The sequence below is a fragment of the Homo sapiens genome, chromosome 12, assembly GCF_000001405.40.
Source record: "Homo sapiens chromosome 12, GRCh38.p14 Primary Assembly".
In the NCBI taxonomy this organism is placed as follows: Eukaryota; Metazoa; Chordata; class Mammalia; order Primates; family Hominidae; genus Homo; species Homo sapiens.
The window spans coordinates 81,539,261-81,559,857 of NC_000012.12; the positions used below are offsets into that span (position 1 = coordinate 81,539,261).

The 20,597-nt window shown below is 34.1% G+C and overlaps 1 protein-coding gene and 1 long non-coding RNA gene across 45 annotated transcripts in view; one reads left to right on the forward strand and one right to left on the reverse strand.

The window, feature by feature from the left end:
* The window catches only part of PPFIA2-AS2 (PPFIA2 antisense RNA 2), a 141,042-nt gene extending 122,156 nt beyond the window's left edge, over positions 1–18,886 (forward strand). The window contains exon 3 of the long non-coding RNA NR_199032.1: positions 14,307–18,886. This is a non-coding gene — a long non-coding RNA (PPFIA2 antisense RNA 2). The remainder of the gene's footprint in view (positions 1–14,306) is intronic.
* Positions 1–20,597, reverse strand: part of PPFIA2 (PPFI scaffold protein A2) — a 501,376-nt gene that overhangs the window by 281,286 nt on the left and 199,493 nt on the right. The window lies entirely within an intron of this gene.

Sequence of the window (20,597 nt, forward strand, 5' to 3'; positions counted from 1 at the left end):
CTGAAGGTCAGGGGAGAAATCTGGGCAGGAAATATACATTTGAGAGCCTTGGCCTACAAAATGATATTTAAAGTCACGAGGTTGGGTGACATTTGATGAGATCACCAAATAACCAAGGTCTGCATTTGCAGTATTCCAGTCTTAGGATGTCTGGAGAGGAAAAGAAGCTAGCAATGAAATTTGAGAAGAAACAAGCGATGTAGGAGTAAAACTTGATGTGGTTTTCCCACAATTAGCATCAATAGCATCATAACAGACCTTGCTAGAAATGCAAACCTCTTACCCCACCCATGCCATAACGAATCAGTGGGGCCCAGCAATTTGTGTTTTAGTAACTTCCAGGTGATTCTTATGCATGCTAAAGTTTAAGAACCACTGCTGTAGAGGGGCAGTAGAATTTGGGGTAAAAATTATGAATTTTAATTAATCTCCTTAAATGTTAATACAGTGTCACTGAACCTCTTTGAGGAATAACTCAACTAGATACAGAACGAAGCAGTCCCTCATTGAGCTCAAACTCAAGCACTCCACCTTTAGATGCTACCACACTTAGATTAATGTTTTCACACACTCTATATTTCTTATTTTCTCATTTTCCATTGCTGTTAGGTGTGATTGCTTAGAATAAGTTTTATTCCCTCAATTTGATTTCACTAAGTTCAATTTCTTTCCATTAAATCTGATTAAAGAAACTCAAATTTAACTAAGGTTTTAAACATCCAGGCATTATTAGCATTCCAGAAGAGGGGTTTGTTTATCTGCAAGAATTCCCACAATGTGGAAAAACAGAGAGAGAGAGGAGACAGAGAGAGAGAGAAAGAGAAAGAGAGAGACCAATAGATATTTGTGTTTATAGCCAATTTCAGGCAGATTCTGTACTTCTCACCAACTCCTGTTCTCTTGCCCTATCAAAGCAAACAAACCAAAATAAAATGACAGTTAACAAGGTAATAAAAACACCAAACCAGGGAATAAAGAAGTAAACCTTTTAAAGTCTTCTTTAATATTTAAATAGAAATATTTATCATAAGACTTAGCAATTAAGAATGGAAAGAGCTATGTTTTATATCAATTCAACAACTGATTTGGGGAAAGTGATTTAACCTCTCAGAGTTTCTGCATGTTTAACGATACAAATGTGTACAGAAAGTAAATATTCCCTGTAAACTTACCACAAAGGCTGGGCTTGGTCTCTTATATGGGAAAATGCTTTGTCAGCTGAAGAACTAAGCAGAGATTAAATTGATGTTAAAATAAATTTTTAAAATGTATCTTTCATTAAGGGAAGAAACTTTAGGACAGGGAGAATTTATCAATTTTAAATTTTAAATAAATGTAGCTCTTTAGGAGTTTAAAAAATATTTCAAGGGAAGATTGCATATATATAGTCTTGATATACATTGTTGGCATTGTTTTATTGATACAAATGGAGTATTCAAAACAAAAATTCATATACTTAAATAATTAAGTATCTATACTCAAATATTATTGCAGTTTAGAATTCTAAGCTATTTTGGCCTATTTAAATGAAAATAACATAGAGAAGAGTAGAAAATAAAATGACATACCCTATATCTATCATTAAGATTTAAGAAGTATTTTCCTACTGCTATATTATATTTAGATCTCTCTTTAGGAAGACAAATATGTCACAAAAACAATTAAAGTTGGTGCCTCCGCATTCCATTTCTCTTTATCTCTTTCCCCAGGGGTGCCTGCTATCCTGAAACTGGAATCTATTATTCCCATGCAAATTCTTGCACATTATATACATAGGTAGATACTCATAAACAACATATATTATCATTATGTATTTAAACATTTGCATAAACAACTTACTTTTTAAACATAACATTAAGTTTTAAAATTTATCAGTGTTGATACATGTTGTTAAATAGTCTTCTATTATAAGAATAAAACTATTTAGGCTGCTACACAGAATCAGTTAGGCTGTTTCCACATTTTTCCCCATATTATAAACAGTTCATTGGCAGGCATTTTCTTTTTTTAATGAGTGCTATTCAAATGAATTCAGCTGTGGGAAATTGTTTGTGGCTCATTCACATCTGACAATTCTGTTCATGGGCTCCTCCTCAACAGCTGTCCCTACTAATGCAAGATAATTTTATGTAAAATTAATGTTTCCATAAGAAGGCCTCATGAGAGGAGTTGTCTTCTGTGGTAGGAAGTCAAGAACCAAAGGAAAACTATAAACTCAAAGAAGAAATATGCAACAAAGTAAATCAGTTTTGGTGATTTCCCAGGTGATTTTACAGGTTCTATGCCAATTTGGAAAATGCGTTCTCTTCTTTTGTTGAAAAATAAAAAAATACTTGTGAAAAAATTGTTACTGCTCAACAAATAGTTCTCTTTCATTATATTAATTAGACAAATTATGTCTTTAAAGCAATAAAAAAAACCCTGCTAATAGTTCCTTGAATATTTGGCATTTTTGTGATCAGACTGCTGGACTAAAAAGACTTTTATTTCTTGAGTTGTCTTCCTCAGGAGTTGACTTGTTCCAGGCTACAAGTGAACAATTCTGAAACCACTATACATGTATGATGGAATTGGGTAATTAAGTAAATGGTGACTGATGCTGGGAGCCAGGCTTCTCATATTGGAGTTGGAAGTTACAGACAAGCAAGCTTTGAAGACTAGAATGATTGGTATATTACTGGATTAGGGTTAGAAACATCAGGATGAACTCATGTTCAGTTTAATATAGATGTAGATGGATACCGCAGTGAGCTGATTGGTGACTTCCAAAAAAAAAAAAATGTATCTGTTCTAATCCCTGGAACTTACGAACATTACCTTATATGGCAAAATATGTGATTTAACTAAGAATTTTGAGAAGAGTTTATTCTGGTGTACTTGGGTGGGCCTTACATGCACTCACATGTATCCTTTAAGACAGGGCAAGAGAGAGCTTTGGGACAGATGAGCAGGCAATGAGACCATGCAAGCTGAGACTGGGGTGAGTGCAGATACCATGGAATGCCTAAAGCCACAGGAGGCTGAAAGAGGCAAGGACTATATTCTCCTCTAGGAGCCTTGGGAAAGGAGCATGGCTCTGCCAGCACCTCACTTTAGGACTTCTGGCTTCCAGTCTGTGACAGAATAAATTTATATCGTTTTAAGCCACTGATTTTGTGGTAATTTGTTACCACAGGGCAGACACAGGAAACAAATAAAATAGATACGTAGAAGTTTTTATAAATATGTGCATATACAAGGGTTAGAATGCACATATGTTTACTTTGCTCCATCTGCTGAGTGATCCTAGAAGTAATGGGACCCCAGTAACAAAGATAATGCTGACTAATATAACCTTAAAGTTTCCCTCAGCTGGACTAAATTTTAACAGACTTTTTCCTGACTCTAGGCTCCTGACCTCTTTTCTAAAGCTTTTACCTTAGAAAATTTGTGAATATAAATATTTCTATGTTCCTTTGAGATATAAATCTTTTAAACAGCCTCTAGCCAGCTTTATAGCCAGGAATGTCTTTTTCAGGAATCTGGAAGCCATTCTTTTGCAATGTAATCATAAAATAGTTTCCTCATCTCCCAGGCTCTGGGAGAATGAGCCCCCAACTTCCTAGGGCATGATGGTTCAAGCTATAAAACTACCTTCAGTCATGAAGATCAGAGAAAGTTTACTTTTCCATTGGATAAGGAAAATTAGAAAACAAAAGTGGCCTAGGATTCCCCTATCCCAGCTCTTAAAATTTCTTCCGCCATTTGTTTTAAGGAGAATTAAGCTCAGATTAACTTGTGGCCTCTCTCCATGTCTGCAGTTGCCTTGAATGAATCTTCCTTTTACTGCTTTTACTGTTTAAATTTGCCAGGCACAGTTTTGGCTTTGACAATACCTAGAGCCTAGCTGTTGGTTTCTAACACCATTCTCCAATAAAAGAAGTTAAAGATCCACGGAGAAATAGCTGATTCTAGGACTGGGTTGGGAAATATACAAGACAAGCCTGGAACATTTTGTAGTGCCAGAAGTGCTAAAAACAACAGCAACATAGCAATAAATAAACCACACACCAACACACACATAAACACACACAAAAAATGATGGGGTCTGTCAAAAGGACAGCAGTGAATAGAGCTCCTAATGACCAAAGTGTGCAAATTTTGAGCAACAAAAAAGGCAGAAATAAAGTAGTATTGTATTACAACTTAAAGGATAAAACAAATATCCATGAATCCATAATCACATAAATAAATGATGATATAAGTAAATAAATGTGAAGAATATAGAAATCTTACAAAGGTTTGCAGAATTCAAAATAATTTATATGGATACTCTTCCTTAAGTAGGTGGAGCATAACTCCCTACTCTTTAAAGGTGGACTGTCAATAGTGACTTTCTTTCAAAGACAAATGGAAGTGGAATGAGTTCACAGAGTATGGACGTGGGCAGGAAAAAAATAACTTTATAGTGAAGAAACCCGACAAACAATTCCTCAGCCAGGTGATCAAGATTAAAATCAACAGTGATATGTAATATTGACAGTATGTACTCTTCATATGATGTGATGTTAATGGCACTTTACCTCTGTGGTCTTCTTCCCCAAACCCATAACTCTAATCTGATCATAAGAAAAATATCAGACAAATACAAGTTCAGGGATATTCTTCCCAACACGTGACTAGTATACTTCAAAACTGTCAAGGTCATCAAAAACAAGCAAAGTCTGAGAAACAGCCAAGATAAATATTATGTGGTATCCTGGAAGAGATCTTTGAACACAAAAAGGACCTTAGGAAAGAGCCAAAGAGATACGAATAAAGCTTAGACTTTAGTTAATAAAAATATATCAACATTGCTTCATTAGTTCTGACCAATGTACCATACCAATGTAAGATGTTAATAACAGGGGAGACTTGGTGAGGGTATATGCTTTCTGTGCTATCTTCACAATTTTTCTGTAACCCTAAAAGTATTCTTATAAAAGCTTATTAAAAAATAGATCTTTATTTTTGAGTTGATTTTCTCAGCAGATAAAGAAATAAGGTCCAGGTTTCCTACAAGAATGTTCATTATCTTCCCCAGAACTGATGGTTATAATCCCCAAGATGAGAATGTGCTCAGGCAGCATGGTCTTAATGGAGTGATAGTGTACCTCATGCCCAGTCTCCAGAGCAGTTTTTATGCAAATGACTATTGCCATTAGGATGAAGAGGAGCTGTTCTAGCTAATGGGGCAGCCCAACATACTTCCGGCATAGCTTTTGAATGTCTCTTTGAACATTCACTTTGTTTATAATTATCTGACTGTACCTAATTTGATTCTACATGAAAATTTATATAATTATGTAATTATTCCATTTTAATGTAAGACTGAAACAGACTGTTACCACTATTCTTGAGATTCCACAGAGAACTGCATGCTTTTGCTATTAAAAGACCACTGTTGAAGTATTTGAATATTATCTCTTAGGAACTGATGAAATATAGAGGTTTCAAGCATTTCCATCAGCACACAATTATTCACAACAACCTTCTAGATGCTTATTTTCTATCTTTTCCTATACAAGCTGCTTCCAAATCACCGTCATTACTACTGAAGAATTCAAAGTCCTGAGCTCAAAAGCAATCAGAACCCATAAGGTAGCATAATTAATAGTACAAAATTTCAGTTAAATGCTTAAATCATAGCAAACTACAAATAATATAACACCAAATAGAATATTATTGTCTCAATGAGGTAATGACTCATCAACTAAAACCACCTAAGATAGAACTTTTTGGTATCTGCTTTCTATTGGTACAACACTTTCATTCTTAATGTTTCTTATGGCTTCACAGGTTTTAGAAATAAAACAATACATTTTCAGCCTTCCACAGTAATCAACACTTTCAAAAACTGAGATACACATATGCATGCTACACTAACTTACAATATACAAGTATTTGGTTATATATTAACTCTCAAAGAACACAACTGTTTACTATTCCCTTTCCACAATTGTTAACAGGATGCACTTTCTTTAAATATAAAGTGAAGAAAAATCAGAAATTTTGCAACCAATATTTTCCTTCAGTTTTCTACTTTATCATCTTCTGATACCACCATACCCTGAGGCAGTTGTTGTTCTCGGGTCAGAGTTTGACCTGGGCCTCCTCTAAGCAGTAGGATGATTATTCCATGTGCTAGAGTACAATGGAGGATAAGATGGGGGGCGGGTGCCACATGTCTAAAAAGAGTGCTGCTGATATACTGCTGCCAAACAAATACCCAATATTCCTCCAGTTCCCACACCAGTCCAGAATCCTGGTCCAGAATTTTCATATGCTTGTCCTGCAAAAGGACAGTCAAAAATAGAAGTTGCACCATGGCTAGAATTCTGCAGTCCTGTGAATGCAGAATAAAGACTGGCATCAGGGGTCCTGCTCAGTTGGTGAATTTCTGACAACGGTGGGAAATGCACAATACTCAGAATATGGTGGCATAGAATATTGACCATTGCTTAGGAACAGTCTATAAACTACAAGGTAGAAGCACCACAGTGGTAATCAATCCACTGATGCCACAGGAATCTGCAGAGTACCACTAATAAAAATTATCTGAGAGGCCAGGCGCCATGGCTCATGCCTGTAATCCCAGAACTTTGGGAGGCCGAGGCAGGCGGATCACCTTAGGTCAGAAGTTCGAGACCAGCATGGCCAACATGGTGAAACCTGTCTCTACCAAAAATACAAAAATTAGCCAGAGGTGGTGGCATGTGCCTGTAATCCCAGCTACTCGGGAGGTCGAGGCAGGAGAATCACTTGAACCTGGGAGGCAGAGGTTGCAGTGATTCAAGATCACGCCACTGCACTCCAGCCTGGGCAACAGAGTGAGACTGTGTCTCAAAAAAAAAAAAAAAAAAAAAAAATTCATCCGAGAAAGAGGTAAAGCTGTGGTGTTTTCCAGATTCTGAATTTCTTCAGGCCAAGTTCCAAGACCATACAACCTAAGTTATATTCCAAGCCACAGGAACCTCTTTGTACACACAGGTGTTCAGGGGATTCATAGCATTTACAGCTTACCACTGTTTTTTTCTAAATTTGTGTGCAATATCTAAATCACTCTCACATTCCCATGGGGTCTTTCCAGCCCAGTGTAGAGCTTGCAATTACTAGAGGCAAATGCAGGCTGTGGTAGTGCATGCTTCTGTGCAGTTACGCCAGGAGCTCCAGTAAAAGGAAAGTCACTTCTACACTGTTTTAACATACATGAATTTCCCCGCCGTAGAATTACCATGTACATCTAGGATAAATTTATTTTATTTAAAAACATTTCGGAAAGTCCCACTACCAATCGCCCAATTTGTCAATATAATATACCCCATCTATCACACCCACAGAGATCTTAGGTATAAGTAAAAGCATCTAATGAATTCACTATGCTTGGTCATGCCTGAACATTTACATATTAAAATATGTGCTATTTATTATGCATTGACTTTCTCTTACCTCTTTTTTTTTTTAACATTTCAGAGAAACTGGGCTTTTTAAAAATATTTCTTCTTTAGATAGATCATGTTTTTTATGTGTTTAGATTTAGGAAGTAAAAGAGCATTGGCTTAGAAAGCAATGGATTTATGGTAAGTCGCAGCAGTTGGGCCCAGAAAGTGTGAGGACCACTGGTCCAGAGAACTTCTGATTCTCTACCTGTCTTCTTCTCTAATAGGGAAAGAGTTAGCAGGACGTCACTTCTCAGTTCCTAATCATGCCCTAAGCCTGGCAGTGAGAAGCGTGGCAGATGCTAGGGGTGGGCGTACTGGAAGGGAAAAGAAAATAATATTTTCCAGTGCCTAGATTTTGGTGTTGGCAGGAAAATTATTTGCCCGTGACAAACTGCATTTATCTTTTATGGAAACTGTGCTCAATTTATGAACTACACTCACTTTAAATTAACTAGAAACCAAAGTTATATTGTGTAAATTTCAGTTGAATTCCAATTTTACTAACCAAAACTCCTGTTGGTTAATTATACATTTTACATAATATTGAATTCAGATAACAAAAGTCGAGCCTCAATCTCTCAATCTAAAACAAAATTCAGCACACTTCACTGTAGGGTAACAACTGTTAACTTATTGACTAACTTTTTTTTCTTTCCTTTTTTTTTTCTTTTTGAGACAGAGTTTTGCTCTTGTTGCCCAGGCTGGAGTGCAATGGCATGATCTCCACTCACCGCAACCTCTGCCTCCCTGGTTCAAGCGATTCTCCTGCCTCAGGTTCCTGAGTAGCTGGGATTACAGGCATGCGCCACTACACCTGCCTAATTTTGTATTTTTCGTGGAGACGGGGTTTCTCCATGTTGGCCAGGCTGGTCTCGAACTTACTGACTAAGTTTTAAATGAATCAGTGCTACATTTAATTTGAAGAAGTAACAAAGAGTTAGAGAAAAAACAAAGATAACTGGGGAATTGGGTGCAAGTCCACCATAATCTGTTGACACTCTATAAAAATTCCATGTGAGTAATATTTTAACCAGAAAAATAGGAATAATGACTGTTCTCTAGAGCAACCATAACCAGTACCTAGAAAATATGTAATAAACAAGGAAATGGACTAGAACACTAATGTGGTTTTCTGGCAAAGAACTATCCTTACTTAAAAATAATGAGAAGAATATTCAAATACTTACTTTCCTTTAAATAATGAAAACTTTAATTCATGACTCCCATAGCTGTTGTTAGGATTTATGAGTGAAGTCACTAAACTAACATTCATTGAGCACATGCTAGGTACTATAGCAAGTGCTTTGTATATTGCATTTCAATCAGCTTTCCAAATAATGGTATGAGGTTATTGCTACTATATATCGTAATTTCCAAGCCAAAACTTAGAAAAGATCAGTAATTTTTCCAAAGTCTATATAATCAAGAAACACCAGAGTAGGAGATAGATCCCAAGATTCGTTGACTCCAAAGGCTATTTTTCTAAACTCTAAGCTCTATTTACTGCCTATATAGTAAGAGGGGATTAGCAGCAACATTGGAATTTACACAGGGAAATACACGGGGAATGTTCGATCATCTAAGGCCTTCCAATAATTTTTCTTTTTTCCAAAAGAAAGCAAGAGCAAGTTTATTTTCTGTTTTAATTAATATTTCAAAAAAAGCCATCAAGAAGTCTGCTTGTTTGAATTTCTAAGTTTTCACATCAAGATTCTGATTTTTAGGTTTGTCCAAAGCTGGAGAATAATAAAGTTTGATATATTCAAAACAATGTTTTCCTTTATATGTTTTTCTAGAGATGGGAGTCTCAATATGTTACCTAGACTGCACTTAAACTCCTGTGCTCAAGCAATCCTCTCACCTAAGTCTCTCAAGTAGGTGGAACTATAGACATGCACCATCCCACCTGGCTTAAATTGGGATATATTAATGTTAGTCAATGGTTCATCCATAAATGAATTTTCAAAAGCCTCATTTATAATATTTAAAGCTTGTATGTAAAAATGCACGTAGCCTTCAGAATTTGACATATTTCCCAAATTCAATGTAGTGCCAGATGATAAAAAAATCCAAAAGAATGCAACACAATAAGTATGTTGAATAAATGTTAAGCAAATTTTATTTTGCATTTAAAAACATATTCTTTTTGCCCATTTGGAATAGACATCATGATTTTAAACAAAGAAACTGCAGGTACTTACTATGGAACTATACAACTAAATATGCAAAGACAATATTTGTGTTATTTCAAAGCTTTCATTGGTAAGCTTTTTATTAGCAAAAATATAAGGAAGCTTAGTTTCCTGCAAGAGAAATAAATAGTAAAAATTAATGTCTCTGAGCCATAGCTTGCCTCCACACAAGTAGTGAATCATTTCTCCCATCTGTCCCAACCTGAATATATCCCTTAGAGATATCTGCCTTTCTGGGAAGAGCGTTGGCATGTATATTTATTATTACTTTCATTTATATACAGTTCTAGCTTTGCTGCTATCTTCCTAGAGCCTTCAGTTCTTCTGTGATGTTGAGTAAGAGTTATATGTTTTACTGGAAAGATATCAGTCACTATTATTCATAATTAGAAATAAAATCTTTGAATTGATTAGAAGATAATTAATGTATATTCTAAGAAAAAAATCTACTTTTAAGATACATAATGATACACATTAGAGACACCACAAGAATGGATAGAACTTTTGGTTTCTCTAAAAATATGACCTAGATGTCAACTAGAGTCTTCCTCATTTTGATAGTTAAATAATACTAACTGCTGTCCCCATATCATGGCCTATGGGAAGTCTAATGCATTCCTCTTTGATGCTTTTAAGTATACAGGAGTTTTCATTCTTGCAACAACCTGGTCGCTCCAATGTTCTTATCTCACTAAATCCTTGAATATGTCCCATTCCATTAGACACTCTCAAAACATCACTCACATAAGGCTTTTGTGTGCTTATGAGGTAAGAAACAATAATCATAGATCAAATAGTAATATGCATAAACAATAGCAATCAGAATATAAGGCATTCTTATTTTAAGATTTTCTTTTTTAGCCATGTTTTCTACTCACTGGCAGGTCATTTTGCTGTCTGGCTGGTCATTTTCCTGCTGGGGTCTCTATTCTCTCTCCACATCCATATATCCCAATTAACATATTATATGAAGCTATTTTTTTAATCTCTATTTCCCCTCGCTTGACTAAACCATCCCCAAATAATTTTTATCTTAGCAAAAACAAAAACAAAAAACTAAGATTTTTAAGGTATATTCCAAGGCAAAGATAGCTTTCTTTCTGAAAGGACCCTTTAAATATCCTATTACAAAAACAGTTTAGTCTAAATATTGTCTTTAATCTCAAATAAATTGACGAATTACTTAGCAGGAGGCACTAGAGACTTAGAGTAAATGACAAAAATCTCTGCCCTTTCGAAACTCTGTCTACCTGGGAAAATGTACAAATGAAGAAGGTTACAGACAATGCACTAAGTGTTATAATAGAGTTGTATGGGTTTAAGGAGCAGGGAAAATCTGGGGATTAGAGGTCTAGGGGCTCACAGATTCACATAGAAGGAAACATCTGAGCTAAGACTTTCAGAATGAATAAGAATTTGCTAGGCACTTGGGAAATTAAGGCATTCCAGATCCAGGGAAAACATTTGTCAAGGCATAACGATAATTTATTTGAAAAAATAGTAATTGGATATCTTTGACAGGGTATGTATAGAAGCGATGTGATCCAATTAGACAGAAGGTAGGGGATTTAAGTGATATATTTTGAAGGTCTAAGTAAGACAGGCTGTGGAAGTAAACAGTAGAGGATCTGAAACAGATTTCCTGTTGGGAGTTTGGTTTCAAGGAACTCAGGTTTCTGGCTGAGGCATCTCTGCAGAACAGCATTAAAATATCCAATGGTGATTTTTAGTTTGACATTTGATTTATGCTGATATTGATGTGCATAGGGGATGTTGAGGTTAGTTCTTTAGTAGAACTAATCAAAATAAACTCAAGGTGCCATTAAAACAGCAAAGGCAAATATGTCAATAAAGATACAAGGGGAAATCATTTAAGGGGGAAGACCAGTGGACTAACGACTGAACTCTGGGGGGAAAATCTATATTTAATGGCTAAAAAGAGGAAGAATCTGAGATGGGAAGAGGTCTCAGAAGGAAATTGGAAGAACCAGGTGATAGCGCTTTCTTAGAATCCTAATGAAAGAATTCAAGAAGGAGGGAGTTATCAATGGTGATAAATGGTGCATTATGATGCATTGAGATCAAATAAGAGAGTAAAAAATAGTTATTGAATTTGGCAAGTAGAAGAACAGAAAAGATAGAGAAAGCAACTTTATTGGCATGACTAGGATAAACACATTACAGTGAGTGGAAAATGATCAGGCTAGAAATGTACGCTCAGAATTTGGTGTTGCTGCCAACACATCAAGGTCAGACAGCAGGACTTACTTAGCATGTAGCAGATGTTCAATAAAGTTTATGGTATAAATGAATGAAAAGATGAATGGCAAATGAAATTCTGGGGTGAGCCATATCCAAAATGAAACATGGACTATATGTTTTACTATCAGGTGCTGCATTATTAAATTTAGTTAATTTCATTATTTTACCATACTATCATTTTGAAAGGAAGCTATTCTGTCATTAGAAAGTACAGTCCACCTTCCATGTCCAAACAGATAAAAAATATTCAGGAAAAAACAATTAAAAATAACAATAAAACAATTTAAAATACAAATAAAAACAAAGTGACTATTTACAAAGCACTCACATTGCATGATTTACATAGTATTCGCATTGTATTAGATATTATAAGCAATCTAGAGATGATCTAAAGTATAGTGAAGGATAAGCATCCATGGATTTTGGTTTCTGAGGGGTGAAATAAACCCCCCATGGATAGCAAAGGACAACAGTAATCTATTCTTGAAATCTTATGTTTTTATAGTTACTTATTTGTGTACTATCATATTTACTTCTGAGTGTGTGAAACTGTTATTTTAGAAGTGATTTTTGTATTGTATATATAAAGTCTTTTCAAATAAGCATATTTATGTATCCTTTTACGACCTCCTTAATTACAATCTCTGTTTTATTCACTCATTCTCAAAAAGAACAAGGAAACAAGGTGATACTGTGGAATCTTATTTTTTATTAGATAACTACAACTGGATTAATTACTTTAATTTCTCTCTTATTCAAGATGCTTTTAAATTAAATGCCTATACTGAGGCCTAGATGAATATTCTGAACACAAAAATTCTAAGAAATTATTTCAGTATAACCAATTTAAAGAACTTAATTATTTAACTTACACAATTTTAATAGATAAAATTAATAATTAATTTAAAAACAATGTTTATATAATTTCAATAATATTTATCACTATTATAGTAACCAAAATAATACTATATAATAACCAAAATTATTGAACTTTAGAAATAAATGGCAAAACTACTTTATAAGGTTAATCAGAACCTCAGAAATTATGGATTGAAGAATCAACACTATTAAATATGTAAGCATAGAACTCTATGCAGGAGGAGAAAGTAAGAAAACCTTCTGGTTAAGTAAATTATTTCATATTACATTGTGTCCCCTTCTAAGTGTAAACTGCACTGTGTAATATACACATTTTTTTTTTCTTGAACAGACTTAGTCATAACAGTTAATTACAGAGACAGGTATTTACTTTGTAAATATAGATGCAACTAAATTGAAAGTATTATTCTGGAACCAATGTATAGGTTTCTGACTTGCCAAACATGTTACAATTGAAATGTCAAGAAACAGTACCTTCTAGTATCTAAGTTATCAATCATGATGACTATATCAATAAAAACTTATTATATGTTTGAACAATATAATGAAAAATATGAATCTTTTGTTATTTAATGTTTGGTGGTTTAAATATCAAAAATTCATGTGTGTAGCTTTCCAAAATGATAATAATTCAAATAAACAACTCAGTTCAATTAATACTCTAAATTCAATTTTTGACTAAATTTTACATAAGTGAAAAAGTAGTTTCCTATTTAGAAGATATGATCCCATTCACGCTAAACAGTAAAGTAGCTTTAGTCATTTTTGATGATGTAGGTTACCCAGAGAAACTATATTACAGATCTATGCCACCTACACTCAGTCCATCGACAACGAAACAAGTAGTTGTAATGTAGCCTATTAAAAATCAAATGAGTAATTCACATTTTTTCCATATAATAAATAGTAACTGAGTCCTCTGCCATTCACTTTGCTCATCACTGAGGACACAGAAATCAAAGACCGATTTTTTTTTCCCCCTAATGAAAGAGCCACAGTTCATGTACAGAGTGTGGTATGACAGGAACACATGGATACATGAAATTCCAGAGAAGAAGCATTAATCTCACGGGCTGAGAGGCCAGAGAAGGTATCTTAGGCGAGCTGTAATCTGAGCTAAGGTTTGAAGAATGAATAGGATTTAGCCAGATAAATAAGGGAAATAAATTGAAGCATTCTAAGCAAAGGAAATAAAAATAGGAAAAAAAACCAAGAAGCATTAGAATGTAACTAACTCAGGAATACATTAATAATTAAAACTGTGCCTGTAATATTAATGGTGGTAAATTGTATTTTTCAAAGATGGATACCAGAAAATATCCTATCTTTGCATACTCTTTTGAACGTTAGCTTGTCCTACTCCCATCAAGATGAAGACTGGACTTCATTTCTTTGAATCTTAGCAGGCCCTGTGAGCACTTTAACCCATAGCATGTGGCAGAAGTTGGTAGCATAAAAGACACAAGCATAGCACTTCAATTACCTAACAACTTCTACCTTCTGCTTCTTGTAGCCCTAATCCTGGACCTCATGTAAGAAGTTCAGGAACCACAAGACTCTGCGGAAGAGAGGAGCCATAGAGGAGCACTGAGCTGCTAGACATGTGAGTGAAGAAACCATCCTTGCTTGACACCAGCCCATCAAAGACTTTGCATGATGCTAGTCCCATCTGCTTTCCAATTGGAACTGCATTGAGAGACTTTGGGTGAGAATTATCCAATCAACTCCCTGGTCAGAAAAAATAGTGATAAGGTGGTGTTTTAAGCCTCCATGTTTTGGAGTTTTTGTCAATAACAGTAAATAACTGAGATATAAAGTGTCTGTTTTGATGGTGATGATGGAGTAGGTGGTAAGAGCTGGATAAGTGACTTGGAACCAGATTAAGAATGGTTTTCATGGCATTTAAGATTTTGGTTTTAGTTTTAAGGGCAATGCTATGGCAAAAAGAAATTAATTGATTTAATACAACTTTTTTTTGCTAGAAATGGGGATTTGATCCAATTTATACTAAATATCACAATATAAATTAAAAGAGGTGAGCACTAGAATGAGGAGACTCAGTTGAAGGGTGCTTCAGTAATTGAAGTAAAAATGATAAGTCTGAACTAAAATGGCAACAGTAGGAAGAAGGGGATACAAGTGATGTCAAGATTTACCTAGGAGATAAAATTTGTAGGACTTGATCAGTTGTATAGGAGAGATATAATTTTAGGTACTTAATTAGTAAAAAGTGATGGCAACTCAAATTTTCCTAAGCCAAAGTGGGATATGTTTTCAGGATAATGGTGCTTCTCTTGGAACTCAAAGACTGGGATGTGTCTGGGTCTCAGGGACAACTGGAACTGGGAACCGAAATGTCACTTTCCACTTTTTAACTCTGCTCCTACCTAAATCTTTATTTTCTTTCTCTGTACCATGGCTTCTTCCAATTTTCTTATTATAATGGAGGAACACATGGCCTCCAAATTGACCAAGATTTACATCTAATAGTTTTAAGATCCAACAAAATCTACTATCTCTTTCTCAGATCCAGGAACAAAATGTTCAAGAAATCTTCTGATCAGATATTTGAAAAGAATTGATTTTAATTTGCTCATGTCCTCAAAGCAACAAGGGGAGTTTGAGGTGTAGTGAATAGTTTCTTAGAAGAACAACGATTGTATTCCAATTAAGGGAACATAATTCTTGATCTTAGATCAGGTGGACATTTATAGTTCTGGGATTTGAAATATAAATGTTTTCTGAACTAAAAACGTATACAGTTATTTCAGCACAAGAACTGAAGGCTGTTCAGAAATGTATACCAAAGTTTTTCTTGTTCAGTACCATGTGAGATCATTTCAAACTCTCAGTAACAGAGATGAGTCAACCTTCTAATAAGTATTGGTCTTCTCTTTCTCTAAAGATAGACATTTTTGGGGGAATAGGATCTCAGAGTACAGTTTGTGATCAAATCTCAAAAAAGTTTATTGCATTTACAACAGCATTTTTCAAAGAGAACACCTCTAAATACGACACACAGTTTTGTGGTCACACGAATCCTCAAAGTGCTATATTTTATGTCTGCCTTCAAGGTATTCACTATATAGATGAGAAGATTAAAAGCTCTAAGAAATCTGTAAACACACACATGCTTCTAAAACTAGTATTTTCTAATGTATTTGACAACCTTTTTAATAGTCTTTCTAATATCCCATATTATATGTTGTAGGAAATTCATATAAAGTAATATTGATTTAGATATCTAAGTCCATGATTTCAAAATGGAAAGTTTTTGTCCCAATTTAAGACATATGGTATGTAATATAGCATAAGATATAATAATGTGTATAAAACGTCTTCACTGATACTCTTAGTCAAATGACATTTTATTGATATAACTTTAATTAATGAATGATGTTGGCACATTAATCCTTTTCTGTTTCCCAGTAGATATTATGCTTTATTATTCTGCAATTCTTGAAATTGATAATTTATAAATCTTAACAGGCACAATTTTCAAACAGTGACAGACTTTCATGAGGAGAAAAGAAATATTTAGTCATAGGTTTGTTTAAATTAATATTTTCACCATTTGGGATGACAAAGCACAAAAAATTACAATTTCTTTTTATAGAGGATAAGAATAAAATTAGAGCACAAATCTGTAAGTCAGTAAATTAATAGAGTTGAGATTTTTAAAACATCTAGTATTTTAATGCAATGAAGAGAAGAAAACATACAGAATCCCACAACTCATGTCTGCAGATCAATAAAAAGGTACAGACTTGATACATATTACTGCTATGCTTCTTCTGGGTACTTAAATATGGCTCTAACAAAATATAATAGGCCACTGTCAAATTCAGTGTTTTCTGAACCTTGTCGCCCATCAGGATAATTCAGAGTTTTTAAAAATAGAGACCCTTGGGGTTTCATCCTCTAAATTAAGTGTTAGTTGGGATGGAACTAAGAAATGTTTATGTTTAAAAGCATCTCTGGTGATTCTGACATCACTGGTCTGTAACTAGCCATGATATGTGGGAAACACTGGACTGGGTGTTCCTGGATCATTTGGCTACTATTTCCAAATACTGTAAATACTGTGTGTTATATTATATATTCCAACTTTTCAATTATCTTTACTTATTCATCAAAATGAAATGTTATTAATTAGACCAATACTTTGAAGTGATGGTAGCCTAATAATATTCCTTGATAAATGCACGGTGGTCATTTTACCAAAATTAATCAGATGAATACATAAAAGTTTATGGCTGTCAATTGAATAATACTTCTTATCATGAATAATGCAAATGGGTTTATTGGGGTCCTAACATTTTAAACTACATACATGTCAAACTTAATTAACTCTGCTTTCATAACCACCTACAGAATGTCTTACCCTTTTTTCATGCACATTAGAAGATGCAAAACTCTGAACTGTTTTCCACAAACTAACATAACATATATTGATAGGACTTAATAGGCTATCTTACAAGTGAAGGCTAATTGCTAAAGGTGAGATTAGGTAAGTTGAAAAGTGGTGCTGGACATCAAACAAGTGGGAAAATTTGTGCAAGTTTTTAATCAATATTTTGATAGGTTATTATAGTTCAATATATCTACCCCCTACATTAACTTCCGTGGTTGTGGAGTATTAAAAAAAAAATCAAGCAAAACTTTATCAGTGATAATCAACCAATTTAAGAGAGAAATTCCACATATGGCCTAAAACCTGGGGGCTACCCATTGTTGGGATCCTTATTACTGAAATTCACCATCAATCTAATAGAAGCTAAAATATAAGATGTACATGAGGACTGCACATCTTTCACTTTTTGCACTTATTTGCATTTTTAATCAGCAAGAATGTTGAAAATTAATTTTTATTTCAATAAAAATTCAATATTAGTTTCAATAAAAGTCAAGCTGTTAATTTCTTAACTGCTGAAAATATTTTTTAAAATATTTGTAGAAGTGATCTAAGTTATCTTGATGACTGGCATTTTTTTTTCCCTCAATGAGACCATCAGCAGTAAAAGGAGGAATTAAACAGGAAGTATTTATCAGGTCTCATTCTTATATGCTTTTACTGAAGTGTATTTCTCTCCCTGATCAATAGCTATGCATTAGAGAGGACAGATATAGATCTTATATCTACACACACACACACACACACACGTATACATATACATAAAAATACAGATATTATACGTATGTATAGGTATAATAATATAAAGAGTAATTTCTAAATAAATATTTGTCTAGAAATTTGACTGAACTCTGTGGGTGGAGGGACAAGATCTTTTATTCATCATGATATTCCCAAATCCCAGTTTCTGATAGAGTAAAGACTCCCCAAATCCCCATATCTTAAATGGATATTTATATCCTTTCTATAGAGGCATCCAATTTCAAACTTACTTTGGTTAAAATCCCTGCATATTTTCTTTCCCATTGACCAAAGTGGAGAAGTATCTTTAAAACTGGTCAACCCTAGCAAGCTATTTAATAGCTACAGTGAATGCTTTCTTACTCAAAGATCTCATCATTAAAGCTATCAATTGTTCCAGGAATCAGCATTATTTCAGCAGTTTTCACCAGCTATCTTTAAAACTAGTCTTTGTATAGGTGAATAGGTATAGAAATTTCCTTTCTCTATAATTTAAGCTAATTCATAAAAATACACTAAGCTAGGTCATTACTCAGAGTTAAATACTTTCAGATTATAACTGAGCCTTCTCAAATTAAATGGCATTTAGCTCACTAAATGTGTAATTTACTTAAAAGTATTAATAGTCTTGAGAGAATTAGTGCTTATGCTAAAATATAATTACAAACTCTCTGGCCATAAATTATTTTTCTAATACCATCTGAGACTCAGAAAATGTGTGTAAAGGCATGCCATGGCCTAATCTGGGTAGCACAATTATAGGGGATTATCTCTGGAATTGGTGGTCCTGTCTCAAATCTACCATTATAATAGGGAAAGTAATGTTTAAACAGTTTTTGCATTATTCTTGTTATTCTTAAGATACTCCATTTATACTCAAATCACCCTAAAAAGATAAGAATCTATCAAGTTTATGAAATAAAACTTTCTGAATTCCCAGGTTGTGGCTCATTTCTCAAAGGGGATGTAGATGACTCATTCTGCCTAGTGTATAAATAATATCATTGCATAATGCCCAATTCTTCTAGCAACTAAGTTGAAATATATAGAGAATCATATTCATGCTTTTCCACATTTTCTTTGTACTTCTCAAGTTGTGGAGCTTGGACGTAAGCCAGTACTTAGAATGAATGGAAGATTGATCAGTAGTTACTGTGATCTACATTTCTTTATCCTAGGGCAACTATATTTTCATACACATTACAATTTGATACAAGCTTGCTGACAATAATTAGAAAATTCAGGCAATCAAAATACAAATAAATCAATAATAGTTACACTACCTGGAGAGAACATTCCCGTGCTTTCACATGGAATATAGGATGGCCCTCGCACATTGGTGGTAGTGGAGACAGCCCATCCCAGTGTGATCACAGAGCTGTAGAACAATGCACATCAAAGAAGCCAGGACAGCAGAAGGAGTTAACAGTCTCTCAAAGGATTTGTTTAGGAGGACTTCCAAGATATCTACAGGGACTTGAAAAATACTTGAAGAGGTGGCTATGTATTTCTGATCCTGTAATGGCAGGTGTGGGCAGAGCTGGTGAAAAAGGGATTACTACTTTCTAATTTCCACTCTGGCTGGAGTGGCCTGGGGAAGCACACACTATAATATATGTTACGAATATGTGTGTTTTTCCATTCTATATCACACAATGGCATTAGTGTCATTTCTAGAAGAGTGTATTGTGTATTCAAAAGGCCAAAATATAGTCCCTTCTAAACTAGAACAAGTATAATACTTATTCTGATAAGTTCTTGAATTACAATATATGGCTACTTGGCTAGCTTAATCTATTTTCTTAAATTCATTTCAGAGTTAATAGCCCTGAAAATTAAGAAATCTTTGAACCATTTGAAAAAGACATACTTTGTGCAATAGCTGAAACAATTTTAAAACACACAGAGAAAATACTACCCTTCATTTATTTAAAGGAGTTAAGAATTGCTTCAAGGTACTCTAACTGATAGAAAATGTGGGTAATATCAGCTAATCATATTTCAACAATAAGAGGGTTAAAGGACCTTGATGCTCATTATTAAAAAGGAATGTGGGTGTGGTAGAAACAGCGTGTGCATTTGCACGTGTGGATGCATGTGCATGCACGTGCATGTGTGTGTGTGCACATATAATAGTTAGCAAGGATATTATAGGACAATAAAACATGACACAATATTGTCATTCCAGAGTTGTTGTGTGTTATGGGTCCTTCAAAGGACTCAAATTTTATTTTGTTGTATTCTATTGGGAGAAAAATAATTTTTATTCCAAAGCTAAGTTAATGTTTTCATGTTGCATAATCAAAATGATGACTTTGATCTAATGAGATTTTATAAGCACATTAAAAATTATACCCTTATAATTATAAACGTACCATTAGAAGACTCTTTTTCTTAGAAACTCCGTTATAAACTTAAGAATGGGTTCAATTGCTATTGTGTCAAGGATTTCTCAAAAACATCAAAAGGAAAACTTTTTTATATTTAGGTGAGATCTTGTAAACCTCTTTGAAATTATAAATGCAAGATACTTATTAAGTGATTTTACATTTCATTTATTTTTCTTACCCAATGCTTTTTACATGATGCTTAGTTGTTTTTTTTTTTGTTGTTGTTTTTTTGCAATCTTCTGTCTCATTTCCCCCAACC